The following is a 26,744-nucleotide window of genomic DNA, read 5'->3' on the forward strand; positions in this document are numbered from 1 at the left end:
TCCCGTCTTTGCAACTCTTCCTCCTGAGATGAAAGGAAGAGAAATAACAGGCAAAACTGAATCTTTTAAACTTGGAAAGAAGGAAGAGAGTTATGGAAATCAGTTAATTGGTATTATTAGTGAACAACCTTCACTACCACCTAAAGTGAATGGAAAATCGATCTATTTCATAGGACATGTTGATAGAAACTCAACCAGCAAACATGAGATTAGAAGTTAAACAATGCAAGTGAGCTCTAGCCCGGCCCTGTGGCTCTCCCTGCAAAGTCTGATCAATTACTTAATGTTGCTGGGACTCAGCTTTTTCACATGAGGCTCAGTTTTCACCACATTAAAGATGGTGATAACACTAATGATATCCCTTAGGGAAACAACATATTTAAGCTGTGCCATGGAAAAAGAGGTAATTTCTGTTTGCGATTCTGTTTCTTCATCTGGAAAATTGAGCACAGGTTTCTCTCAGGTCCTGTCTAGTTACATGTACCTCTAAGTGCTCCATAAAATATATTATATAAATGTTGTAAACCTAGATGATGGGTTGATAGGTGCAGCAAACCACCACAGCACATGTACACCTAGGTAACAAACCTGTGTGTTCTGCACACGTATCCCAGAACTTAAAGTAAAATAATAAATAAATAAATGTTGTAATAGAAGAACAAGATCAGATTTTCTATATTCACTCATATCTTTCTTTGACGAAAGTAAAATGTGAGCTTTTTTATGTCCATGGGTGGCTTTTCAATAGCACATGTATTAAAACTTAAGTAAAATTTACTCTAAAGATAAATATGAGAGGTGGAAGGGGACAATTCCCTTTACAAAAGCATTTTTGATTTATAAAGTTTTTAAAATGCTGAACCATGATATTTGTATAACTGTTTTCCAAAGGCAAAAAATGTAACTTAATTGTGATATAACCAATTATTAATTGATGCCACTGATATACTTGATATCAGCTGCATCACTAATGTCAGCTGTGTACCCATGGAACACACATATGGTAAATCTGTATATCTGCATCTGTGTGTGTATATTCAAACAAGTAACTGTGGGATGGAGGTTATTTTATATGTTAGAATATCATATTAAAAATGTGCCTGGAAAATAACCCACTCCTTAGCTCTGACTCACATCATTGTTGATCTTGGTGGGTGCCACTGTCCTACCCAGCAGTTGCAAGGGAGCTGAAGTGAGAGGGCCTAAACACCAGCAATGTGTTCCCTTCATTTCTGTCCCCACTGGGGCAGGCAGGAAATGCCAGCCTCCTCACAGGAAAGCCTGTTGTGGTGAGATTTCCCGATTTACTATATAAATGCAAGAAAGCCAGATACAGGAGGAGATAAGTGCTCAAGGTTGTGAGTGCTTATCATCTCATGGGGTTCTGGGCCCCACAGTCATGGCCAGTTTCTCTTGTAGGGATGCAGGCCAAAATTCAGTTTGGTTCCAAGTGGAAAGAACTGTGCAACTGAAATATGCCAGTCATCAGACGACAACCATTCCAAACAACTTGCTGGCTATTCACCCTGAGTGATATCCTTTCTTTAGCAAATTAAGAGAACTTCACTCTTTGCCTTGACTGCACATCGGGCTTACCTGATGCTGGGGTTGTAAAAAAGATTGCGGTGTCTGGTTCTCTAAGCTAATAGCTGAAGTCATGATACCTACTCGACTGTTGCCTCTGTTGACCTGTGACATTTTCAGTAGGAACACTCTTCTTGGCTCTGATGTTTTACTACTGATGACACTTAAGTAAAACATTTAGTGGAATGAAAAGGATAGAGACCTCAAAAGAACAAGACAGTCAAGCGAGTGGCAAGCTGAGAGAATAAAGGACATGTTGAATTAGCTCAATTTTTAATCAAGCACGCTCTAGGAGCTACCCAGGCCAACTCACTCTCTGGTCAGAGCTTGGGGAGGGGAGTGGTAAGGGTTGGTGAAGGAGAAGACTATTTCTTCAGGGTCCACTTCACTCTACGCCTCCTCTTCTAGTCAATTTCTGTAAAGTAGAACCCCTGATAATTATCACCTAAAGAAGCAGCTTCAGGATGTATATAGACAGGGAACTATAATTTCCTACTCTTTCTGTCTCCACATTACCAATCACTTTGAAGCAATGAAAATTTCAGAGTCAAATACTCAGCTCGTCTGTGTGTCTAATCTTTTAAAAAGAGAAAATAGGATTTGGATAAACATCTATGCCCCTCTTTCCCTCCAACAAAAATCTAGGAGAAACTTCAGCTCACAAAATCTGATTTTAAAACACACTAAGAAAATAAAAACATGTCCTTTACATTTGATCTCTTATCTAGGGAAGCCAGGTTCCCTCAGAGGGACTCTCAAGGCTGTGAGTCCCCAGTGTTTATTGTGTTTAGTGGGCCACATTGTTTCGTGTTCAGCTGTGAAATGCATTGAAGTACTACTGAGTGGTCATGCTGTCTCTCTGGGACCCCACTGTCCCCTGTCTGTCAAAGTTGAGGGTAATAATAATAATCAAACATCAGACATCAGACCAATATTTAATCAGACAAGTATTTATGCAGCATCTTTTCTCTCTAGAAGTTAGAAGCACTTGACCAAACATATCTCAGTTCTCCAAAGACTGTCCTTAAGCACTAGTGCACTAGCATTAGGGATATCATGTATACCTTCTCATTCAACTATCTCCTCATGCTTCACCCCACTCCTACCAGCCCCATTAAGAAATATACCTAAAACCTTTATGTCAAATGTAATTGGCATTGGTGCAGCTTGACTTCTAGCAAGCTTTCTTTCTTTCTTTCTTTCTTTCTTTCTTTCTTTCTTTCTTTCCTTCTTTCTTCTTTCTTTCTTTCTTCTTTCTCTCTCTCTCTTTTTTTTAAATTAAGGTCAGAAAGAAAGGAAGAGGAAAAAGATAATGGCATCTATGCTCTGGTTAACGTTGTTCTCTATTAACCTCAGTGGCTACAGTATGTTTTGTATTTCTGTGGCACTTTTCTCAAAGGTGTCCCAAAGGATTTGGGGTTTTTTCCAACTAACACAATCATCTTCCACCTCAAAGTCTCAATGGGTGGACCAGTTGTCCCACTTATGCAATTATGTTTTGGATCCTTTAAAGTGGCTGATTCATTTCCCATCAAACTGTAATGTCATGCTTTTTCTACAAGGAGTCCCAAACTTTATGCTTTCTTTTAATTCTGTTCTCTTTCCTCCTTTTCAGGGTTGAGTAAGGCCAGATTGATAAAGAAAAGATAGCAATCTTTGCAAATCTTTGCCTTCTCATCAATAGCAAAGTGATATTACTCAGGTCCTTTTCACTCCTTTCTCCCCAGGACACACGAATGAATGACTGATTCCATCAGAAAAAGCATTCCACTCTTAAGAATCATACTGAAATTATTGCAAAGGATTAATTCCATAGTTTTTAAACAGGAGCAGCAATGGAGAATATTTCCCAATAACCTGAAAAAATATATAACCATAGATGAAACTAGCAATGTGCTCCTTAGAATTATGTAATTTTAAGCTAGAATAGGCCTCAGAGATTATGTAATAAAATATAATAAATTAATTGATGTTTATGAAGAGACAAACTTGAGAAGAAAAATTTGCTAAGGGAGTTGGAGGGATGAAAATACAGTACATAAAACTTTGGTCTTAGAACTCCTCTTTGCTTTAATGCATAATCTTATTTGTCCTCCAATAACCTGACCTCTGCATCCTCAATCCTAGGGCACATTACATATGCTTGATTTATGAATGGGAGGAGGGTAAATCTGTTTGCTTGTGGGAGAACTTTTCTGCTATACCGGTATGAATGGCAGATCCCTCGCCCCAGCAGCCCCTCTTTTGCCCCTCCTGCTACCCATCCAAGGATTTTCTTCTACACCTGGGATATGTATGAGTGTGCCTCTTTCTCTCTCTCTCTCTCTCTCTCTCTGCCTGTGTGTGTGTGTGTGTTGGTACATGATGGGAATCGAAGGTCACACACATCCTGGAATCCAAAGCGACCCCTGTCTGATCATTCTTTCCATGGTCCTTGCTCTAGTTACTGCCTCTATTTCCTGAACTTATCTCGCTCACTAGATTTCCCACCCCTTCTCTCTCCCTGAAATGCCCGGGAGCTCAATCTAGGTTTGCAGCCTGTCAAGGGCTACAAGAGGATGCAGATAATGAGAGATAAGGAGGGTGACTCCCTGTTGGCTACCCTTTAAAATCTGAAATTGCTTGTTTGAAGCACAGGAAGTGGCTTTCTTCCTTCACCATCATTAAAAGCAAAAAGAATAGAAAATCCACAAAGGAGGCAGAAACTCAGGGTGGTTTTGGATTTTATGTGGAGTGAAAAGAACCATAAAGACAGGAGCACTGCTTTGCTTTATACACAAAGCCACACATGGCAAAGCAAAACAAACAAAACAAAACACATTGTGGGTTCATAATAGATACTGATCATCAGAGTAGGTTCTAGAAGGGTTGAGTGAAACGAGTCACCATTGTTTATTCCCTTTTACTTACTTGGAGAAACCAAATCATGGCAAAATATTATTCCACAGTTGTATTGGTTTACTAGAGCTGCCATACAGAGTACCATAGATTTCGTGGCTGGAGCATCAGAAATTGATTTCCTCGAAGTTCTGGAGGCTGAAAGTCCATGATCAAGTTATCAGCAAGTTGATGTCTTCTGAGGTCTCCCTTCTTGGCTAGTCGGTGGCTGCTTTTGCACTGTGTGCTCACACGGGCTTTCCTCTGTAATCGCACATGTCTGTGACCTAATCTCCTCTTCTTATAAGGACACCAGTCATAGTGGATAATGGCCCACCCTATGATCTCATTTTACCTTGTTCACCCTTTCTAAGGCCCTGTATCCCATCAGCGTCACATTCTGAAGTATTGGAGCTTAGGGCTTCAACTTGTGAATTTGGAAGTGATAAAATTCAGCCCATAGTGCCCGTCATCAGGAGCACAACCAAGACTGGAACCCAAAGTTCCTAATCCTAGAACATTAATTTGCCTTATGTTCATATCCTTTCCCCGGGCTAAATAATCTTACAGAAGTATAGCATGTTCAAATTTGAAAGTATTTCATGATGATATAATGTAGCCCTCTCATTTGCCAAAGAAGGAAGCTAAGTCCTAATTGTCTTGCTCAGAATGATGGAGTGCATGGATGATTCAGAGGGGCACTGCCCAGATATCTTCTCCTGCTCTCCTACTGGAGTGCCCTTCTTGGATTCCAATCTCTTGCTGCTGTAACCTCCACACGAGAGTCTCTTTCTACCCAGGCTCTGCATTGCAAATCTATGGCCCAGGGAAGCAGCTTGGTATAGGCTGGCGAGGGAGCATAACTGTGGGGCAAGAACCCCCTCCCCACCCCATTCTCCCTTTTGAGGGGTAAGTTGGCTTTAATGAGTCCTCCCTGCCCCCAGCTGCCTCTCTCTTGCTCCTGTTTCATGGCAGCTGTTGCCAATTTCAGCAATTTTCTTCCGGTGAATTGAAGGCTCCAGGTGACAAAGGGAGTTGGCCATATCCTCCTGGAAAATAAGATAGCCTGGGTTCCACTCTCACCCCACCCCTGACCCTGGACTGGGTGGCTAGGGCTCACTTTCCCAGTGAGCATGTCACAACCCTTCCCATCACCACCCCCCACCACATACACACACACAGCAGGCTTCCAGGTGTATGTCCATTTCTTAAACCCTGTTTGAAAGGAACTTCAGATTCTTCCTCAGTTCATTCTCAGCTCATCTGTTTTCCTAAGACCACCAAGATTTTGATCATTTGCCTAACCCTTGGAATGAGCACCCATTCTGGCTTCTAAAATCACAGGAAGAATGGGAAATAGGACACACACACACACATACACACACACACACACACACATGAGTTTCGTACAAAGCCTAGGACACTGGCCTCTCCATCTGTGACCATCTCCCAGGGTGCTTGGAAGGGGCATGATCTCTCTAGTTAAACCATTTATGCACAAATGAAGCAGACCCATGAGCACTGATTTTATGTAACCCTCCCTGCAAAGCAGAAAATGAATCAGTATCACTCAGGTAAAACTTTCCTGTCAGTTTTTCCTTAATAACAATGTGACACTTTTGTTTTGTTTGTTTTATATTTCTGTTATGAGTTATTGGTTAGACAGAAGGGAGGTAGCTTAATAGTTGTTCCACTTCTCTGCCTAAGGATATCAGTGTGAACGTTGGGTGTCTAGCTGTGAACAAAACAAGCTCAACTTTTGCTTTCAGGGAGCTTACAAGGTATTGGAAGGAGACAAACATTAAACAGATACATCTACAAATAAGGATGCAATAACAACTGTGAAAATGTGAAGAAGGAAGAGCTTCAAATCTAGAAGGATGTACCCAAGTGATCTCTTAGAAATCTCTCTCAGGAAAAGAAGGAAGGAAGGAAGGAAAGAAGGAGGGAAGGAGGGAAGGAGGGAAGAAGAAAAGGAGGGAGGGAGGGAGGGAGGGAAGAAGGGGAAAAACTGAGGATGGTGAGATATTCGACAATTTGTTTAGTCCTCACTTTCTCTAATACAGCTGAAGCCTTCATTTTCAAGTCTCCAGGTTTCCTAAAGATAATCTATCTTCAAAATGCATGACATCAGGGTAGGATGCATTATCTGATATAGGAGCATCTACTGTTTTATTTGCAGTTGTTTGGAATAGCATGCTTGTTCCTTTGGGAGGGAAGATGATCTCCCCAAGAATCCCAAGAACAAAAATCTGGGGCAGTGGCTCTAGTCCTTCAGGCCCCCCCCCTCCCCAGGCCCCCTGTCTTGTTTTCCTAAGCAATGGTCAGGAATGTGGGGCGGGGGGCAGCCCAGCCCTCTGTGCCCAGCCCAGGCAGCCCCAGTCACAGTCCCAGGCTGGCCTTTCACCTCATTGCTCTCCCGGCTGCTCTTATTAAGCAGCAAAATGTTTCAATATGTGGAACTCTGGGGGAGGGATGGGAGAGAAAAATCGGGATATTGTTGAGAAGGAAATAACGAATAACCCTGCCGCCAGCCCTCATACCCCCCACGTGGGGAGATCTGGATGATAGGTGTGTTTTCTCCTGAAATGGAATCCTACTAATTGCCTTTTGGTCAGAAATGTCCAGAGCCAATTGGGGAAGGGGGTAGGGGGAGCAGGTACTAAATAAATTTTCTCGAAGGTTCCAGAGCAAAGCAGTCAGGGATCTGGGTACCCAAGAAGGAAGGAAGAGAACGCTTGAGAAACAGAAGCCAACTCAGAGTGGTGCAGGAAGCTGTGGGGTTTGCTTTTGCTAACTGACATACTCCCATCTCCATCCTTACCTGTCACCTCTCCCCTGCCACCCTGCCCCCCCCCCCACACCCAGGTTAGAAACAACTGTGAACAACTCCCTGTTGCCAGAGATCCACAGAGGAGAGTGAGGGGTGGGGTGCCGCCCACCCCAAAGCACAACCAACTCAGCAATGCAGATTCTATTTTGTGGGTAATGGCCCTGGGATTGGGCAGTGGAAAGGGCCCATATGAGCATTGACTCAGAAATCTGAGCCCCATTCGAGTGAAAGAATGAGCAACGTTCCAAATTTTAAGAAAACACAAATTTGACAACCCAGAAACAACTCCTTAACAAGAATGCTTTTAAATGTTTGAGGTTTTTTAAATTAAAACCTCATAATATGGCTATTTCTATGGCATTTGCAATCCACTTTGCTCTTATAGATACTGCCTAGAAAAAGTGGATCAAGAAGAGGTGTATTCTCGGTGGTGGTTGGGAGGGCGGGCGCAATAGGACTCAATAAGGGGAAGGAGTAACCCTTACGAAAGAAAAACATAAGGGCTCAAAAAGTAAAAGATAACTTCACCGATATCAAGTTTGAGGAATGATTACTTGCATATCGATAATTTGGAACTTTCAAAGAATAAATAATCAGCTCAAAGAAGCCTGGGTCTGCATGTCTTCTTTTGGCTTCGCTTAGTTGTATGTCTTTATTTATGATATGCGTTCATGATTTCTAGCGTTCTTTAAAGTTTCCTAGTAACACCGAGTGGTTTCTAGAAAAGCAGCTGGGGGCAAACTGGTGGCTGTCCTGTAAGAATAATTCATCAGACAGCAGTTGGAATATTGATAAGAAAGCGGAAATCAAATTACAAGAAAGGGAAAGAGAAAGGAAGAGGGAGTGGGACCCAGAGAGCTGGCGGGAGGCAGCGAAGGGGAAAGCTTCAGTGCACGCATAGCTCCTGCACAGCGGCTCCTGCAGCCCCCCAGGATGCGCCTGAGCTGAGGCTGCTTGTGGGCAGGCCCTAGAGAGAGGCAAACTTTGACTCCAGGCACGCAGCAGGTTTAACTCCTCACTGGCTGGGTTCTGGGAGCTCTGGGCACACAGGATAGGCACCAAGAACTAACACATCCTGGAGCTGCCCGGAGTTCCGCTCCTGCGGGCTTAGCAGGAAAGGGTGCCTAAGGTGAGTGCCCACTTGCGTCCGATCCTCTGGGGGCGATGCAGGGTCGGGGCGCCTCAGTGTGTCTCGCTGCTTGTTCTGGTTGCAGTCGGGAAATGTGGGACTTTGGGGTCTTCTCCTTTCTCCGGCTTTCTTTTTTCTCCTTCTTTCCTCTCTGTTTTCTTGTAAATTACACTTCGACTTTCAAAAAAAAAAATGTAGGGGACCGGTGGGGTCGCTGGGGTTGGGGGAGAGACTGAAGAAAGTGCGCCTGGGCGGAGGCGGCGAAGGGAATCTCTGGGCCCGAGGAATATACCTTGTCCCTGCACTAGTGTGTGTTCTCTTGTGGCTTGAGGAGCCAAAAAAAAAAAAAAAAAAAAAAAAAAGCTGGAATTTGTTAGTGGGGAGAAAAGTGCTTTATCAGAAACACATTGGCTGCCAGAGAAGCTGTGAGCCGCCACGTTAAAGATGGTTAAGAGAAGGAAGGAAAGGAAGAGGAGAGATACGGCCGCCAGACTGGGCTAAGTCAGGGAGAGACCCACTCACGCAGAGGCACCTGGCAACCTAGGGTGGCTTTTGCGCCTTCCAGCCCAAATTATCAGACCTAAGTAAGACTCTCCTGCCACTAAAAATGAGGACCTGACAGTCATTGTAGCAGTCTCTTCCCAAAAACCTATTTTCTAAGGGGCCTCCACAGACCTCCCTAACCTTGCGTTAGTCTTCCTCCGTCCCCGGGCCACCAGCAGGGAAGAGCAGCGCAGCTGGATGCTGGCAGAGAAAGGGTGGTGAGGAAGTCAAGCAGGTCTGTGCACTGAGGGGCGAGTGTTGGCAGCTCTGTAAGCTTCTGCTCCTCAGCCTGCAAGAAAGGGGAGTCCTACCTCTGTCCTGGTCGCGTTCTCTCCTCAACACGCACCAAGAACTAGAACATCCTGGTTTCCAGAACAAGCTGCGGGCATCCCCAGTTCGAAACTGCCCAGGCCCTGGGGGAGGCGGCAGTCTGATTTCGGGCAGGGGAGAGTAAAAGGACTGTAGGGAGGAGACCCAATGGTGTGAGGTGGCTCTCAGTTCTCACCGTCCCCTGGCCTGAAGCCCGGGGACGGGACTGAGGCGTAGGGAGAGTGCTCAACACCCAACCACTCGGACCCTCCCTCGCCGGACTAGGCGGATCTGAGCTTCCCAAACCCCTACAGTCTCTCCATCTGCATCCCCACTTCATCACCATCCCACCGTCTCTCCCTCGCTCCACTCGCGGGTAACCGAGGCTTCTCCCTCCCAGGCTGGTTCTTGGGCGTTCCCGACCCTTAGCTACCCACGATGTTTCAGACAGTCCCCGACACGTCGTCTTACATCAAGGTAAGACATGGCAGCGTCTTTAAACAGGTGATGACCCCCAGCTTCTACCCCACCCGGGCCTATGGTCCCTTTTCCCTTTCCCCGGGAAAAAGGGGTAGGGGTGGAAGTGGGCCCTACTCTCGGCTCGTGGATCTCAAGCTAGGGCGCTCCTGGCCAGATGAGAGTGGCACAGACCCTCGGGAATCCTAGGTTGAGAAGCAACGCTCCTGGCGGCTAGTGTTTGGGAAACTTGGAGCAGGAGAGCCTGGCGAAGCCTGTGCAGGAAGACCGAGCAGCTCGCCGCGTCAGGTCCCAACGGGTGGGGTGCTCTGAGCGGCTGGCGCACAGCGTGTTCCCTGCATTAAGCGCGTGCGCGCGCTTGTGTGTGAGCGCGTCTGTGCATGTGTGCATGCGTGCGCCTGTTTGCATGTGGGCGTGTGTATGTGGGGTTGTGTGCGGGTATGCGGGCGCCACGCGCTTCTCCTACAGGTGAGACACGCGCTCAGTCCTCGAGCCCACCTTCTTTGGCCCCGCCCGCCCTTCGGAAGCGCAGATTGCTATATTTGACAGCACATCGAAGGGTTTTGGTTTTTTTTTTTCTTTTCCACAACAGTTTCCAAGAATGTAAACAAACTGAAGCTGGGACACCTGGGTTACAAGTTAAATGAAAATCCGCTGGCTGGGTGGGGCGGGGAGTGCGCACCAGGAGGCCCTGCTCATGGGAGGGGCGGTGACTGGGTCCCCTCACGCCATGCAGCCGCGACCTGACGCCCTCCGAGTAGGGACCCAAAGCTTAGGACCATCTGAGTCAGTCCGAGAGCGGAGGAGGAAGGACTCTCCGCAGTGCTGCAAACACCCGCATACTTTTCCCAGATCTCTGCCCCGCCCTCCCCATCCTGAAGCCCCGCCTCCAAGTGCTCCCCAGACCGGTCAGTGAGGCCCAGCTGAGCTCCCTCGAGTGTCGGGCAAATGCCAGGGCAGTCCCTGGCCCTGTGTGATGGGATGCAGACTCTCGGGTCCTGTCCAAGGATTGCCAATTATGCGTCCAACCCTCCTCAGATCTCTCTAAAGGAAAACTTGTCACACGGACGCATCTTCCCGTGTGAAGCAGTCACTCGTCATTTCAGGAAGGGAAGGCCTAATCCTAGAGGCTTGGCCCAAAAAGGGGTGTTTCATTGACAATGCCTGAGTGAGTGAATGAATGAATGAAATACAGTGTAATTCATGTAGCAATAACCAGTGAATGGATGGATAGCAAAATGACTCCCAGGAGGTTACAGAGCATACTTTAAGGTTAGACTAAGGCGCGCACGGATTCGCTGTCCCCAGTTTTCCTGAGAAGTTTAGGAAGAGTACTCGGGTACTCCCACCACTCGGAGTACCCGAGCCCGGCAAGAGGAGCTCTCACTTCTAGCTCTGCACTGAGGATTGTAAATGGCCCCGGGGAGGGGAGCTGCAGTCTCTCTCCCACTCATAGGAACCCTCGAGTCCATACACACCCCGGGACCCAGGACCTCAGGGATGAGGAGCCCTAGAGGGGCACGTGGGAGCCCCGGAACCCGACTCAGGCCACGGGTCAGGGACAAAGCGGAGGCGAGGAGACGGCAGTCTGGGAGCTGTGGGCCGCCAGAGAAGCTGCTCGCTGCAGGAGCTCTTTTCAAGGTGGAAAAATGGATTTTTCAGCAGCCACAAAGTTTGTATTGTTGCACAAAGGGGTGCATTGATGGCGGCGAAAGGTCTGCGTGGCAGGGACAATCTTGAGTCTGTTCCACCGGCTCCCTCCATCGAACATTTGCCAGAGGGGCACAAACAGTTGCAGGCTGCCAAGCCCCTGCCGTTGTCCGGCAGGCACCCGGCTCAGGAGTTGTTGACAAACACCGCAGGCCCAGGCGCCCAGGCCCCATGAGGGAGGAGCCCAGCCTGGCCCCTAGGGGCCAAGGGTGCCGGCTCCACCGGGGTCACGATCTGAACAGTGGTCTGGGCTCTGAGGGGTCCCACAGAGAGGTAAAGGAGGTAATTGCCCACATAAGAGCGCTTTAGGTAGGAAAGGGGCAGGGAAGAACAAGGGAAAGGGAGAGAGGGAAGAGGGTGACACTTGGAGACACTGACATGCAGTAGTTGATGGATAACCGCAACGACATTCATAGCTACCTCTCAGATCTTACCTTCGCCAGCCGCTGCTCTAAGCGTTGTGTCTGTATTAGCTCATTTAATATTAACAACAATCTTAGGAGGTAGTCCATTCTGCAGGCGAGAAACTGAGGCATTGTGAGGTTAATGTGATGTGAGGGGCAGAGCCAAGATACATAGAGTAATGACAAAGTTGTGCTGGCTGCCAGGCAAGTTCTAAAGGCTTATTTCGTCTTTACAACAGCCCTTTGAGATAAGTCCTATTATAACCCCATTGTACAGATGAGGACAGTGAGGCACAGGGAGGTTAAGTAACTTGTTCAAGCCCTCAGAGCTAGTAAGTGTAGAGCTAGAATTCAAACCTAGGTGCGCTAGTCCTCAAACTGGAACTTCCGCTCCTGATATTTTGTTTAAGGATGGAGGCGTGGAGGGACCAGGAGACCCAGTGGAGTAACCCTGACCCGCACCTGCACGATGCCCGCGGAGTGCAAAGCACTTTCTCCTAGCGCGCAGAGCATATATCTGAAAGCTTCTCGCCCGTCCTCCGCCCAACACCCCCGCAGGACTGGCAGGGTCCTCCTTTTTTTCTCCTTGTGTACCCCCCAGGTTCCTTGCTCTAACTCCTTCACTTATCAGCCTGAGGATTGGGCCCAGGCTGCATTCTGAGGGAGATGCCGTCTTCCGCCTGTCCCCCGGACGAAAGGAGGTTGCTAGCCCCAGAATGTTCACAGTGACCCACCCCTAAGGTGGTCTTGCCGGCGGGTCTCGAAGCTGAGTTTCAAGACCACGGATCTGTTCTTAGAATGAATGCTGTTTGGGGCGGCTGGGAGGAGGGGGTGTGATGGAGATTGGAGAAGCTGAACCCACCTTGGCCCCATCCCAACGGCCCCATCTTGGATCCGCCACTGGGCGAGGGTCTGGACACCTGGCTGGTCTCCACCTCTTGTCAGCCTGCTCTCTCTGGTCAGGATTGGACTCCCTCGGGGTTTCCTCAGCGACGCCGCGTGGTCTGGGGGCTCGGAGACCCTCCTCCTCCCCAACCCGCCCGCCCCCGGCCCTCCCGCCGCCGCGGCCTCCCACGTAGCGTTCTGAACCCGCTCAGCGCTAAGGCAAGAACCAGCGTGGGGAGCGGGCCAGGCGAGCAGAGGCTCTAAATCTTCCTTCACTCTGTGAGTAGATGAAGTCTGAGAAACAAATTCAAAGCAGGCGCGCCTGCAGAGCCTTCCTGCAGAAATATTCCCCGGCATTCAAGCGCATCCAGGGGCGGCTTGAGCTGCCTTGTTTGGCTAAGGTCAGACGAGACTCGAGTTCTCCAATAAAAATAAATCTCAAATTAATTATGGCCTCGAGCGAGAGGCCAGACACTTGAAGCTGCATTTGTGCAGTCTGGAGTTTTGGCGCTTGCCCGCCCACCCCTCCGGTTTTCTCCCGCCCTCTCCTCCTCCCCCTTTGCCAGCTCGGATACCCGCTGCGGCCTCGCTGGACCAGAGGGGCATGGGAGGGGAGGACGAAGGACGGAGGGAGAGGAGCGGCCCGAGACATTCTGCCAGGCCTGGCATCCTGCGGAGTTTCAAGTGACGGAGCCACCCCTGGGTCTGTTACCCCAGGGACCAGGCTCAGATCGTCAGGTCCGCCCACCCCAAACCCAGTCTGGGGCCGAAGAAGCCCGGGAAGCCCGTGTCTGGAAAGTCTTGACCGGGTCAAAAGGGCTGACATTGAGCGAGCCAAGACACGTTTCGACCCGCCGCTCCCCTCCCGGGGGAAGCAGGACTTCCGCATCTTTGAAAATACTGTCAAGTGCGAATGGTGCGAGGCAAGTCGTCTCACCAGCGTTCCAAATGAAAATGCTCCAAATCCAAATATTTCCTGAGTATTCACGCCCATGTGCACGGTTTCTGTAAGTGACCCCAGACTTGGAAACATGTGGTGGGCTGTTTTGTTGTTGGGACATTTTTTTCTCCAGTTGGTAGCTTTTGTTTTAAATACTGGGAAGAGCTTCCTTGGCTGTGAGCTGCCTCTGACTTGAAAACCAGCCCCGAGCTGCTGGAAAGTGAGCTGTCGCCGATGGCACTCATACCAGCTCCTGTTCAGCAGCTCTGCCCAGTCTGGGAAAGGGCGAGGCCATTGGAGCCATGGTAAGCCAGGAAAGAGGGTGTGCACAAGTGTGTGGGCAGGGGCAGCCTTCCCCAAGCTGGGCCCAGAGACTAAGGAAAGAGGAAGGAGAGAAGAGAGGAGGGAGAGGAGAGGGAAGGGGAGGTCTGCCCCACTAACACAAGACAGTTTTCATTTGTAGGCCCTCACCGCAGGCTCTCTATCAATTTGTCTCAATGCAAACATTCAAAATATCCCCTTTGGCTGCTCGTGAAAACAATGTGAGCTGCCAGGATCAAACCATCTTTCCAGATGTCTGGTGGTAACCACATTAAACAGGGTAGACTTGTTTACTATTGTGCTTGGTTAGGGCGCTTCCCCCATCCCCTTTCAGGATTTAAAAAAGCAGCAGTAGCAGTGGAGTTGACCATCAAACCCTGAGTTACATAAAAGTGGGGCAAACTGACCTACGGGCATGCCAACACTGGATGGAGGAAATCCGAGATTCCCGCAGGCATCTAGTCAGAGTTAGGTGGGGTCTTCTTTCTGGGTGGAGACCTCTGTGAATGGACAGGAGCTTCTCCCAGGGGGCTGAAAATCGCCAACAACAGTGGCACCAGTGCCAGTCTGTGAGTCCCAAAGGGCCGGGGTGCCTGTGTCTATGCATCTAGTGGTGCCTGTGCCAGGCTCTCCACTACCCCCCGCCCATCTCCAAAACCATGAAATTGCCGTAGCTTTGGAGAAACAGAAAGTGCGATGGAGTTCCACAGTTAAAAACTAAAGGGCAAGTCTTCAATTTAATCTAGTTCCATATTGAATAATTCCAGTGGGGGAGGCAGCTGGTGCTGAAAGGAATTGGGGGACAGTATAGGAATGTTCGGGTGACTACTGATTAATGTAGTGAAGATGATCTGTCACTTGCCAGACCAACAGGAGTTGGAAAGAGAAACCTAGCCATGGTGTCTGCCACAGAGGGACCCTCTAAAGTGCTAGGAGGAGGGTGGGGGGCAGTCGCCACCTGTGGGATGCCATGAACAGCCTCTGCAACTGGCCAGCACCAGGAAGGGGGGCCTCCTGGTGGTGGAGTTGGAGTCCTTTCTGGCTGAATGAGGAGCAATGTGGCTGGGGTGTGCGGGTTTCTGGTGAGGTCCGGGTGGGAAGCCGTCTCTCCGCATTCTCCTGAAAGCTCTGTTGTAGTTTGAAGGTCGGTAGAGCCTGGGCTGAAAAGGAAACAATTTGGGGTTTGAAAGGATGTAATTCATTCTTCCTTTCCCGTTAACCTCTTTCCTCTCTGGAAAGCACGTGGAAACGCTGAAGGGAGGAGTGAGAGGGCAGGCAGCCTGCCGCGGGGAGGAAAGGGTTAAGCCTGATTTCTTTTAATTGAACTCCAGAACTGGTGGCCCCAGGCAAAGGGGGGGACTGACCCCGCTAGCGGTAACCAGATGTGGCGGTCCCAGGGGAGCCCCGGAGCAGACCCCTGGATTGAGAAGCAGACAGGAGCGGGGGGAGTCAGCCCGGCCCCCATCCCACCATCCACCCCACCCCCACCCCCAACACGCACACCAAGTCTCAATTGCTGGCAGGCTGCACCCGCCACTCCAGGTCTGGTCACGTTCAGACCCGTGTCTGTATTCGAACCCAAAATTGGAGCCGAATTGATGAGACTAATTTCTAGAGAGGGAGGGGGAGGGAGGGAGACGAGTGAGCTCTCGGGCTCAATTGCTCCTGAAGAAATAAAGAATTAATAAGTCACCTTTTTTCGCCTCTGTGGACACCCTTTTGAAATTTTTTCTTCCAATTGACTTGGATCTCCTCTGGATTTTTTTTCCCTCTTTCCCCCGTCGGACTCTTAAATAAAAGTGAGCAAGTCCAAAGCGTGGTCCGGAGAGCGTGGACAAGGTAACCTGTTTTGGATGTCCGGGAGAAGGGAGTCCGGCCGAAAGGGCCCAGCCCCTCGAGGCTGCTCCAACTGGGGCGCGCGGCGGCCCAGGAGGGAGGCGGGGAGGTCTCCGGGTTGGGCCGGGGAACGCCGGCCTCCAGGCTGGGTAGGGAGGACGGTCCAGAGCGCGGGCCTCCGGGTCTCACCCCGGGAAAAGTCTGGGTCTGCTCTGCGCTGTTGCGTGCTGCGCTCCTGGGACCTGCTGACTGTCCTAGAGGGAACGTCCCGCGGTAGTGTCAGTTCCCTGGGGACCAGGAAGGGCGACTCTTGCCTGGGAGTCAGTGCTTGGGCCGTCGGGTCCGGGTAAGCGCTGGGGGTTTGGCTCGAGAAGATGCGGATAGGTGGCCTAGGGCGCCGCGGATCTCCGCCCTCTGCGGGCACCGGGAGCCCAGGGTCGAGGCGCGCCGCCCCGAGGGGCCCCTTCTCCTAACAATGCGCCCGGAATGGAGTCCGCGCCCTGACAGCGCGGGTCAGCCCGAAACCGCCCAGAATCCGCTTCGATGAGTGGGTGAGCCGCTCTGGGAGTCTGCCGCGTCTCGGCAGCGGAGGGCCTGAGTGGAAAAATTCTTATTGGATGCACTTTTTAATGGTTGGTTTGCCTCGGTTTTCGTCCGAGTCTTCCCCGGCAGTAGGCGCTGGGTTACCCGCAGCCCTAGCCAACTCTCCCTCCATACCCCCCCTACCCCACCCCCAAAAAGTTTGTCTCCGGCTGGAAAAAGCATTAATGAACGTATCTGTGGGAAGAAACGGAAAGTGAATGAGTCAGGAGGGCCACCTTCGGCCAACCGCCTCAGGAAAAGCAAAGAAGCCAAAGGTCTTTGGCTTTGGATTTTGGGGGAAGGTGATGGGGGGAGGTTCAGACTTCGGGAATCAGGGCGCGGACGCTGGGCGTGGACCCCGTCATTGTTCCCGGCTAGCTCTTATCTCCCAGGAGCAAGTATCCTGTGTGCGCAGCGCATGAATGTGTCTGGGCATCTCCGCGTATATTTATATAGTGTGTGATGCGAAAAGCAGGACCAGCAGGGGAGGAAGAGGGGGTGTGGGGGGGGAGGGAAGACGAGGGAGAGCAGAGGGGAGAGAAGAGAGAGGAGAGCTCGAGGCGAGAGAGAGAGAGAGAGAGAGAGAGAGAGAGAGAGAGAGAGAGAGAGAGAGATAGGACTTCCTCCCCGATTCGCAAAGTGAAGTCACTTCCCAAAATTAGCTGAAAAAAAAGTTTCATCCGGTTAACTGTCTCTTTCGCTCCGCTACAACAACAAACGTGCACAGGGGAGTGAGGGCAGGGCGCTCGCAGGGGGCACGCAGGGAGGGCCCAGGGCGCCAGGGAGGCCGCGCCGGGCTAATCCGAAGGGGCTGCGAGGTCAGGCTGTAACCGGGTCAATGTGTGGAATATTGGGGGGCTCGGCTGCAGACTTGGCCAAATGGACGGGACTATTAAGGTAAGCGGCGGGGCAACGGACGCGGGCGGCGGGGACCGGCCGGGGAGGCGAAGCGGCGGGCGGGTAGGTGCGGGGCCCGCGTCCCGGAAGACGTGGCCTCTCTCCCTTCCCTCCGCGCCCCGGCTTCGCGCCGGCTCCTCCGGCGCTCGGGTGGCGAGTCCTACTCGCGGGCCAGCCGGCCAGGCGCCCGCATTGAGGGCGACCCTCCCCCGAAATCCCAGCCCCCAAAGTGGAGCCCCGGCCCCCCTCCCACCTCGCTGCCCGCCGGGGCTGCAGGAGGGGACGGCGGGAAACCGGGGGACCCCAGGGTACGGAACGGAGTCAAGGGCGAGAGACCTCGGGGTCCACCACTCCCACCGACACCCGGGGCTCCCGTGGCCCCAGCGCTAGGCACTGGGCTTCCTCTCCGCAGAGGCGGAACACGGCGGGGGCGGGGGCTGCAGTCGCCCGGGCTCGGGTCCCTGCCTGGTGGGCCCTGGGGTGGGTAAGTGGCCTCGTTGCACGAGGGTAGGGGTGCAAGTGAGTGTGTCGGGGGATCTATCTGAGCGGGCTCCTCCAGATGGAAGCCCCTGTTTACATGTCAGCGCTTTCCCTTCCTCTCGGCACTCAGTCGCCCGGCTCTAGGCGCTGGAGAGCCGCCGGCTCCGCGGGACTCCTGGGCCGGCCTCGCCGCCTCTCCGGCGGGGAACCTTCCCCAGCCCCCGTCCGCACAGATCCCTAGCGCCCCGAGCCCCCGCCCTTCGCGCCTAGGCGTGCGCCGGCTCCAGGACCAGGGCTCCTGGAGCTGTCGCCTCCGAAAGGGTCCTGCGTCCTTCGGAGCCGCCTCCGTTGCAGGGGCCGGCTGTGAGCCCGCGCCCCGCGCCCGCCCGGCCATTCCCACCCCAGCCGCCGCCGCCAAGCCTGGGTCTAGGTTGCAAAGTGCAACCCAGGCGGAAAGGTGAGGGTTTGGGTTCGCGTCTCACTTCAGAAAAGTTGACTGCTGTCTCTGAAAGGGTTCGCCAAGTAGGGCCAGGAGCAGAGAGGAGGGACACCCCCTAACGTGACGGGCCTTAGAGGACCTAGGGGAATGAATGGGACCAGGGGTTAGCTTCGAGGCTGCCGCGCAACACCAAGCGGGAGTCTGTCTGGAAAAACTATTAGGCTGGCGAGGTGGGGACTGGCAGAGCCCGCCATTCCCCAGAACCCGAAAGAATCGACTCCCTGCTCAGGGCTCAGCAAGAGAAGGCTAAGATGTTGGGCTCAGAGAATTCAAGAGATTTTTATCTTCTGGGTGGGGTCGTGGTTTTTATTTTCTAAGTTTTTTTTATGAAAGTTTGAAATATGCTGACTTAGGTAAAAGACACCAACCGAAGGAACTTGCAAATCTGGAGATGAGATAACTGACTGTGATGGGTTAAAGGGAGCTATAAGAGCCTATAAGAGCCTGGGTTCCTCAAACCCAAAGTGAGTAGGTGAGAAGTAGGTGAGAGGGGATTCCTGCAAAGACCCGAGAGTGGGGGTCATTGGGCCATTTTATGCCTGTTTCTCTGCTTCCTGTTGATGTGTTCATGCAAGTGTCTCTGTATTTCTGGGTTTAGTAATGAGATGCTCCCCTCTAGAAAACTCCCTCGCCCCAATCAGGACAGTTACCACTTACTCTGAAGGCCTCTTCTGATCCAGAAGGGTGGTAAGATGGCCTCAGGGTCTTGATGTGGACACCCTAAGGAAAAGTGAAGAAATATCTCCACACTGCTTAAACTCTACGCACAGGCCCTGAGCAAAAGGAGGAAGCTGTGGTCTGTGTACCCAGGATGTGCTAACCTCTTTAGATACACACAGGGATTGGCATGGCAGGCCTCGAGAACAGGCTTAGAGCAGGAACCTGACACTTCAGGCCAAGGATGGGAGTGAAAGTCCTTCCTTTTTTTGTGGGTGGTAGGAGCCATGAGCTCCTCCAAACCCTCCCTGTGAGCAACCTGTCATTCACCTAAGTTACCTGGCTAGGCTGAGTCCCCACAGAGCTACCTTCAGTCTCCAAGCATTCTGCAAGATTGAGCCTTTAGTGTGTGTGTTGGTGTTTAAGTTGTGTGAAAGCCACAGTTTTCTGTTCGCATGTGACCTCTGGATCTTGGGGTTTCCAGATCCTGTTCCCACAATAGTTCAAATACTGTGCTTGGAGAGGACAGTGGACCAGGAGAGAGGCCAGCATTCTTCTGCTCTCTTGGTGAGAATGAACCGTCCATTAAGCCTGTTTGAGATTCATAGTCATCACAAAAATGAAACAGTGGAACTAGGTTACCTCTACAGTAGTATCTAACCAATCTTCTCAGTGCCTAAAATGTGCTCATATGTGTTTACAAGAACACTTGCCTGTATGTGCACTAAATCCAGCCCTACACTGATCGAGGTTGACGACACTCTAGAGAGAATCTAATTTGTGTACACAAATCCAGGGTGTCCATTTCCAGTTTGAACTGCCTGGAAAAATCAGGTTTGAGTGATTCTAGGATGTGATTTTATGCACCTGCATAGTTCTTCCTCAAATATAAGTCATGTCTATATTTCAAAATACCTGTGGGTCTTGGCACTTAGGTGGTATTTGGTGCAGGAAGCCAGGGAAGTCTGGATTTCTTCACAGAAGCCCTTTATTTTGTGCATAATTTGCACAACTCTATGTGATTACAAAATCCCAATCTTGTTGCCCTCCTTATAAGTCCCTCCATATTATATTCTCTTCTCTTTTCCAAGAACGGCTCCTGGAAAGGCTCTGACCGTCACATTGGGAGAAGCAATATTTGCTGGAGCCACGCTACTCTTTTGTCACAGACAGGTTAACTTGCAGTATTAAACAACACCCGACCCACGCCCCTGCTTCCCACACTGATATTATCAGTGTTAAAAAGCACATGATACTGTTTGCTGCTTTAAGAAATGACCTGGTTTCAAAAACTGCATCTTAATTTTAGGCTGGCTTCAGTTGAATCCAGTTAATTTTATCTATGAATGCCTGACTCAGTGCACGTGGTGTCATTACAGATGGGGAGACAGAGAAGACAGACATGGTGAATGAAGGTGGGAAATAGAGAATGAACAGTGGATTTGGAGTCAGAAAGCCCGGGTTCATTCTCAGCTCTGCTACCTAGTAGCTGTGTGCCTTATAGCAAGGCACTTCTTGTATCTGTTTCCTTATCTAGAAAATGGGGCCAAAGCACCTCCTTGCCACAAGCCATAGGAAGAATTTTTAAAGTCTGCTACCTTAGCTGGATACACATTAAATTAACTTCATGTGCCTTATAGCAAGGCACCTCTTGAATCTGTTTCCTTATCTAGAAAATGGGGCCAAAGCACCTCCTTGCCACAAGTCACAGGAATAATGTTTTAAAGCCTGCCACCTTAGCTGGATACACATTAATTGAACTTTGCTTTTGGGAATGGGCATACCAGGACAGATTGGTCAGAAAATTAGAACACAGGTCCAAATTTACCATCATGCATATTTCATTAATTCAACAAATGTTTATGATGCATCTATTATGTTGCAAGGCTCTGCACTGTGTATTGAGGATAAAACAGGGGTCAAAACCCTCCAGGAATGTAGACGCTAGTGGAGGGAGCTGACACATACAGAGAACAATCTCAGTTGAGTGGTGATATATCTTCTGAAGAACAATAACGCAGGTTAGGGAATGGAAAGTAATGACGCTATATAGCCAGGATGGTGAGGAGAAGCGTGTCTAACAAAGTCACAGTCGGGCAGAGGCACTCTCTCGTCATTAACTCCAGAAGAGTACAGCACCAACCACACAGCCAGTCAACAATGGACAAGCACAGCCCGAAAGAAGGGCCAGGGTTATGGCTGGCTCTGCAAGGCTCTGGAGGGCAGGTTGTCACTGGCAGGGCAGGGAAACATCTGGACAAGGTTTGGAAGAAGCAGCAGAGTGAGGAATACTTGGGAACAGAGGCTTGACTTCTGTCCTCAAGAAGGTGTTGCTGCCTCCCTCTACCACACACACCTTGTAATCTCCATGTCACCTGGATTCACAAGAACTCCAGACAAGATGGCCTCTGTCTATTGATCTGTCCCCGTGACCACACAGAATTGCTCCCCTCAGGTGGTTACCAAGTGGAATCCTGTTTTGTGTGTGAATAATTTCCACCAAAAGGCTTCCTTCCAGTTCCACTGCCATCCAAATTTAAGTTTATAGGTTGGCAACTTTAAAGCTTTAGAGAGTGTTTAGCTTGAATTTCTCACTTTATGGGTGGGGAAACTGAGGTCTAGGTTGTTAAATGAATTGTCCAAGATCATACAGCTAACTACCAACAGAGTCATAGTGAAAGTTCAGGGCTCTGCACCCTTAGGCCAGTGTTCTTTCCACTATACCATGAAAATATCATTTGCTTTTGTTACATTTTTATGAATTATAGAATCGTGGAGGCAGTGTGTGTATGTGTTTGCGTGTGTGTGTGTGTGTGTGTGTGAGAGAGAGAGAGAGAGAGAGAAGTCTTTAAAAGAAAAATCATAAAGAATTTGGCACTTTACACTAAAGACACCTCTGGTATTTAATGAAAAATAAATAAAATTGTATCACTACCATCTTGAATTATTTTTATCCTTAAAGAAAAGAAGAAATTCCAAATTTTTGGATAGAATTTTTATACAACTGTTTTCCAAAATAAGTCCTTCTTTTCCAGCAGACAAAGTAAACAGTCTCCATTACAAGGAGACAACCAAAAATATAGTAGTTTACTGAAATACCCAGGCCCTTCTACAGATCATGGGCAGGTAGACAGACGGAATTCTTATTTCAGCTCCTTTAATAATGGAATATTGGACTATTTAAATAAAATCTATTAGAAGGCATCTTATGGATCCATCAGACTGTGTCATAAGTAGGTCTTGAATAACAATTGCATTAAAAAAGATTTGGGATTTTCATGTCTCTTTCTGTTTGGGGTTAAACAGTTAACTTGGCATTTGTTTAAAAAACAGTTGATTTAAACCAAGCCTCTTTCTAGGTATATAGCATTAGTCTAATGCCAGTACTAAGTTACCCCCAGCCAAAAAAATAGAAAGAAAGAAAAGAGTTGGGAAAATTTTTATATTGATAGTTTTTTTGTTCTGTACTTAAAACATTCCTTTTAAGTCTATATTTTGCTTGTTGTTTTGTAACGAATTAAGTAGGCTAAGGGACATTGTCTGTTACGTACACACAAACACACACCTACACACACAATCTCATAAAACCTTCAACCAGCCACAATAGCTTTTTTCGTAATCTCAGAGTTATACAGGTGTCTTTTCCTCTGCAGAAGACTACACCCTGTTTCAATTTCTGTTGCTTTAATGATTTCATATCTATAGCGTTCTTCCCATTATGTATTAATTGATCCATGGGATGATATCATTAAGTGATGTCACTCTTTGTGTATTACAGTTCTGCCACTGACCTGATAGACCCACCATCAGTTGCCTGTGCACTGAGATGTTTCCCCAGAGGCTATGGATAGGGTTATATGTCCCCACACTATCTGCAGGGCCAATATAGTGCAAATCTGACAAAATTTAGGTAATCTATGGAATAAACCTTTCCTGTGCAAAGCTAGCTGGCCTTATGGGAATTGGTGGTACCTCAGTCTCAGGGGCATCATAAACTGACCAACCATATGAAGGTGATTGCATGTCTGTTAGGCAGGGACTAAACTATGTTCTGTGAAGATAGAACCCCAATGGCAAAAGGGCTCTGCCAGGAGATCTAGCGAGAAGATAAGCCACATATGTGTGCCCTGCAGAGCACAGCAAGTGTTACCATAGCCCTGAGAAAAGAAAGGATGATTTGAACTGGAGAGACAGACAAAGACCTCATGATAATAGTTGTTTATGTAGTCCCTTTCATAAATCTCTTCACAGATCATACAGTCCCTCCACAGATCACTGGCCCACACACTCTTGCATCCCATTCTCACAGTAGCCCTATGGGAGATAATACCATGATGTCTCTACTTCATATGGAAGAAGTTAAAGTTCAGAGGAGTGAGGTAACTTGCCCAAGAGTATAACTAACAGGGGACAGATCTGGGTTTCAAGCCCAGTGTTTCTCATTCCTGATTCCTGCTTTTACTACACACACTGGCCACACTGCCTCTTGGCACAGGTGGATCTAAGCCTGGCCTTGAAAGATAGGTAGGTCTTGCATAGGAAACTATGGTAAAGGGCTTTCTAGGAGAGTGGAGGGTACTTTGGGGAGGAAAGTGTACAGGTGATGGAGAGGATGGGAGTGGAAAGACTGAATTGAACTAGACTACAGAGGACCTTACATACTATAACAAAGAATTTGGGGGTGAGTATGGTGGCTCATGCCTGTAATCCCAGTTCTTTGGGAGACGGAAATGGGTGGATCACTTGAGCCCAGGAATTCAAGACCAGACTGGGCAACATGGAGAAACCTAGTCTCTACAAAAACTACAAAAATTAGCCGGGCATGGTGGCACTCACCTGTAGTCCCAGCTGCTCAGGGAGCTGAGGTGGGAGGATCACCTGAGCCAAGGGAGGTCAAGGCTACAATCAGCCATGAGCGCCACTGTATTCCACCCTAGATGACAAAGTGAATACCTGCCTCAAAATAATAATAACTTGGGTCTTGTAACATGTATAGAAAGGAGGAATGAAAACTTGTGACTAGAGGGATGATCTACATAGCTGTACAAGTCTCTTAGAAACAAATCCTTCGTACTCTCTTCTCCTTAGGAAATGAAGATGGAAGTGGCTCCATCACTTATCAGAGGCCACACAAGAAATGAGCAGCAGTCAGGATTAGACAACCAGAGATAGATTCAGGCAACCAGCAGTGCTGTCTTCTGTCTTCAAAGACACCTGTTGATTAAATATGGCATTAGGGGAGGGAGGAGAAACTCTATTTCACCAGATGACATAAAACTGTGATTATCCTTCTCATCCCTTCCTTCCCAGGGGATTTCACCATGAGCAATCTTTTCAATTGGGCCTTCTATCCTGGGCTACAATTTTAGTTCCTTTTGAGAATGAGTCAGCAGATAGTGCTTGAGAGGAGAAAAAAGAAAAAAAAAAGTCTCTCTAAAACTCAAATCAAATTTCTGTGGGCCTTCAGACAAGTCTGACATTCTTCCATGAGTTGGCTGGGCCGCTGGTCTCAGTTAGGAATACTGACACTTCACCCCAGCAAACCAAAAACGCAGAGACTCATCACCGTCATTCCAAGTAGGATCAGAGATGGAGTGTTCAGACGCATTTTCAGATAATTCAGATCAACTTTACAGTACCTTCAAAATTGCTCATCCCTACAAAAATGAAGCAAACACTAATGTATTTAAGAGATTTGCCATCTTTGGGAAACAATGTGTCTGCCATTTAGTTTAAGATCAAAATCTCAGAGTATGAGAATTTTTCAAATCACCTCAAAGGGAAGGCAGACTTGAACACTGAAATGCTTTCCCAAGAGCAAGCCCCATTTACCCAGCCAGTGCTATGTGTCCAAGGCAATGAAAGATCTTATGTCACATCTCAGTGCACACATGCAAGAGGCTGGAATTACAGGTGCCATGGGAGCTTTAACCTCGAATTTCTAGACATTGTGTGGGTTTCACATGTCTACTGGAATCTAACACTCCAGTAGCAGAATTGTTAGGTCTGAATATATGGGTATTCATTGATGTTATGGGAAAGGAATCGGAGAGTGAGCAATTCTGCAGTACCATTCATGTAGCAAAAGTGTGAAAACAAACAGGTTAATATTAGAAAATTACTCTGCTCATGAGTTGTTTTAAGTTACTGCTGTTACAGTCTATGGAAAAGCGTATGTTTCAATTGAAATTCTCATGTCTACAGAGTCATTTTGTCTTTAGACATTTATGACTGAATTCATACTCATTCATGTATTCAATACTCATTCATGTATTCATTCACCCAAATGTTGAATAATATTACCAGGCACCAATCTCAATAGAGCATTCATGTAAATGAACAAGAATAAGGTTTCTATGCTATTTCTTCCAGGCTTTGAGAGAGTAGACATTTCTCTTCTTTCTGATTTTTAGCTCTGAGTATTGGAAATTCCAAAAGAAGCAATACTCATTGGAGAAATCTTTATTTGTGGCTTATAATCATAAGGATGGTTAGACACATTTTCTTAAAGGTAACAACCAGTTTATATTCTCCATTGCCCCTTCACCCTTGGTGATATAATTTACTGTAAGGATATTTTTGGAAGGCTAGGTCTTCAGCCAAGGATATTTCTTCTTCTGATTCTCCCTTTCTCAGCTTTAGTTCCTCTATTTATATATTAACATGGGGCCAGGCACGGTGGCTCACACCTGTAATCCCAGCATTTTGGGAGGCCAAGGCGGGTGGATCACCTGAGGTCAGGAGTTCAAGACCAGCCTGGCCAATATGGTGAAACCCTGTCTTTACTAAAAGTACAAAAATTAGCTGGTCATGCTGGCGCATGCTTGTAGTCCCAGCTACTTGGGAGGCTGAGGCAGAAGAATTGCTTGAACATAGGAGGTGGAGGTTGCAGTGAGCCAAGATCGTGCCTCTGCACTCCAGCCTGGGCAACAGGGCGAGATTCTGTCTCAAAGAAAAAAAAAAAAAACATGGAGAAAAATACCATAGGTAAGGTGAAAACTAAATGAGAAACGGAGAAAGAATATTTATCATACATAAAGCATAAATGTCCTATCATACAAAGACTACTTACAAATCAATAAGAAAAGACACACCACTTAACAGAAAATAGGCAAAAATGCTATGAATAGACAACACTAGAAAGAAAATACAAATGGGCAATAAATAAATGAAAAGAATTTCAAGCACATGCATAAAGACATTCAAATAAAAATAATAAAATTCCAATGTTTATGACCTAGGAGGACAGCAGAGACTAAAACAGCTTAATGTCTCATGTTGGAAAGAGTAAAGGAAATGTCACTGTCTTATCCTCTTGGTAGGAGTATGACTTGGTATAATCTTTCCACAGAGCAACATCTATTTGAGAAGTTAACTATTTACACAAATTTGATAATGCCAATTCTACAGCTATGTTCACTCAGATATATGTACAATGTGTTTATTGTAGCATTGTTTGTTACAGCAAAAGTTGGAAATAATCTAAATGTCCACCAGTAGGGGACTAGATAAACAAAGGAGGAAAGATTCATGTAAGAAAATGCCATGCAACTACAAAATGGGATAAAATCAATTGTCGTATACACTGATTTAGAAAATTCTCCAATGTATATTATTACATGGAAAAAAGCAAAAAGTTCCAAAATATTGGGCCGGGCACGGTGGCTCACTCCTGTAATCCTAGCACTTTGGGAGGCCGAGGCTAGCAGATAATGAGGTCAAGAGATTGAGACCATCCTGGCCAACATGGTGAAACTCTACCTCTACTAAAAATACAAAAA

The 26,744-nt window shown here is 48.2% G+C and overlaps 1 protein-coding gene and 2 long non-coding RNA genes across 11 annotated transcripts in view, besides 11 other annotated features; 1 reads left to right on the forward strand and 2 right to left on the reverse strand.

Moving 5' to 3' along the window:
* Positions 1 to 4,290: 4,290 nt before the first annotated feature.
* LOC101929538 (uncharacterized) lies at positions 4,291 to 9,973 on the reverse strand. Its single transcript, NR_135072.1, has 2 exons — positions 9,278 to 9,973; positions 4,291 to 5,510 (listed from the first exon to the last, which is right to left on the reverse strand). It is a non-coding gene; the product is annotated as an uncharacterized LOC101929538 (long non-coding RNA).
* FLI1 (Fli-1 proto-oncogene, ETS transcription factor) overlaps positions 8,183 to 26,744 on the forward strand; it is a 128,136-nt gene continuing 109,574 nt past the window's right edge. For 4 of the 9 annotated variants that reach the window (NM_001167681.3, NM_001271010.2, NM_002017.5 and 1 more), the window contains exon 1: positions 17,123 to 17,327. Coding sequence is in view for 2 of the 9 variants with exons in the window: in NM_002017.5 (NP_002008.2) it covers positions 17,310 to 17,327 (18 nt within the window). In the remaining 7 variants the exon portion in view is untranslated. Of the gene's footprint in view, positions 8,424 to 9,585; positions 9,753 to 15,533; positions 15,852 to 16,112; positions 16,195 to 17,122; positions 17,328 to 19,510; positions 19,531 to 26,744 lie in introns of those variants that run through there. The other 5 variants (NM_001440370.1, NM_001271012.2, NM_001440371.1 and 2 more) reach the window with 5 other exon arrangements.
* Positions 9,139 to 9,278: an enhancer, noted in NCBI's record as "active region_5731". NCBI's record gives its function as "activates an Ori minimal core promoter by ATAC-STARR-seq in GM12878 lymphoblastoid cells {active_cell/tissue: GM12878}" and the evidence as "EXISTENCE:reporter gene assay evidence [ECO:0000049][PMID:35858748]".
* Positions 10,036 to 10,235: a silencer, noted in NCBI's record as "silent region_4056". NCBI's record gives its function as "represses an Ori minimal core promoter by ATAC-STARR-seq in GM12878 lymphoblastoid cells {active_cell/tissue: GM12878}" and the evidence as "EXISTENCE:reporter gene assay evidence [ECO:0000049][PMID:35858748]".
* Positions 14,723 to 19,074, reverse strand: SENCR (smooth muscle and endothelial cell enriched migration/differentiation-associated lncRNA). The gene is made up of 3 exons (NR_038908.1): positions 18,964 to 19,074; positions 15,706 to 16,442; positions 14,723 to 15,172 (listed from the first exon to the last, which is right to left on the reverse strand). It is a non-coding gene; the product is annotated as a smooth muscle and endothelial cell enriched migration/differentiation-associated lncRNA (long non-coding RNA).
* Positions 16,182 to 16,231: a silencer, noted in NCBI's record as "silent region_4057". NCBI's record gives its function as "represses an Ori minimal core promoter by ATAC-STARR-seq in GM12878 lymphoblastoid cells {active_cell/tissue: GM12878}" and the evidence as "EXISTENCE:reporter gene assay evidence [ECO:0000049][PMID:35858748]".
* Positions 16,252 to 16,391: a silencer, noted in NCBI's record as "silent region_4058". NCBI's record gives its function as "represses an Ori minimal core promoter by ATAC-STARR-seq in GM12878 lymphoblastoid cells {active_cell/tissue: GM12878}" and the evidence as "EXISTENCE:reporter gene assay evidence [ECO:0000049][PMID:35858748]".
* Positions 16,611 to 17,343: a transcriptional cis regulatory region, noted in NCBI's record as "chr11:128563455-128564187 region (GRCh37/hg19 assembly coordinates) targeted for CRISPR interference". NCBI's record gives its function as "negatively regulates ETS1 gene expression in GM12878 lymphoblastoid cells {active_cell/tissue: GM12878}" and the evidence as "EXISTENCE:mutant phenotype evidence [ECO:0000015][PMID:33828297]".
* Positions 16,611 to 17,444: a biological region, named in NCBI's record as "CRISPRi-FlowFISH-validated ETS1 regulatory element GRCh37_chr11:128563455-128564187". NCBI's record gives its function as "regulatory_interactions: ETS1".
* Positions 17,075 to 17,444: a silencer, noted in NCBI's record as "silent region_4059". NCBI's record gives its function as "represses an Ori minimal core promoter by ATAC-STARR-seq in GM12878 lymphoblastoid cells {active_cell/tissue: GM12878}" and the evidence as "EXISTENCE:reporter gene assay evidence [ECO:0000049][PMID:35858748]".
* Positions 17,665 to 17,714: a silencer, noted in NCBI's record as "silent region_4060". NCBI's record gives its function as "represses an Ori minimal core promoter by ATAC-STARR-seq in GM12878 lymphoblastoid cells {active_cell/tissue: GM12878}" and the evidence as "EXISTENCE:reporter gene assay evidence [ECO:0000049][PMID:35858748]".
* Positions 17,755 to 17,974: a silencer, noted in NCBI's record as "silent region_4061". NCBI's record gives its function as "represses an Ori minimal core promoter by ATAC-STARR-seq in GM12878 lymphoblastoid cells {active_cell/tissue: GM12878}" and the evidence as "EXISTENCE:reporter gene assay evidence [ECO:0000049][PMID:35858748]".
* Positions 18,025 to 18,154: a silencer, noted in NCBI's record as "silent region_4062". NCBI's record gives its function as "represses an Ori minimal core promoter by ATAC-STARR-seq in GM12878 lymphoblastoid cells {active_cell/tissue: GM12878}" and the evidence as "EXISTENCE:reporter gene assay evidence [ECO:0000049][PMID:35858748]".
* Positions 23,495 to 24,694: an enhancer, noted in NCBI's record as "CDK7 strongly-dependent group 2 enhancer chr11:128570339-128571538 (GRCh37/hg19 assembly coordinates)". NCBI's record gives its function as "activates an origin of replication core promoter dependent on BRD2, BRD4, P300/CBP, MED14 and CDK7 cofactors, with strong dependence on CDK7, by STARR-seq in HCT116 cells {active_cell/tissue: HCT116}" and the evidence as "EXISTENCE:reporter gene assay evidence [ECO:0000049][PMID:35650434]".

The sequence above is a fragment of the Homo sapiens genome, chromosome 11 (assembly GCF_000001405.40).
Source record: "Homo sapiens chromosome 11, GRCh38.p14 Primary Assembly".
In the NCBI taxonomy this organism is placed as follows: Eukaryota; Metazoa; Chordata; class Mammalia; order Primates; family Hominidae; genus Homo; species Homo sapiens.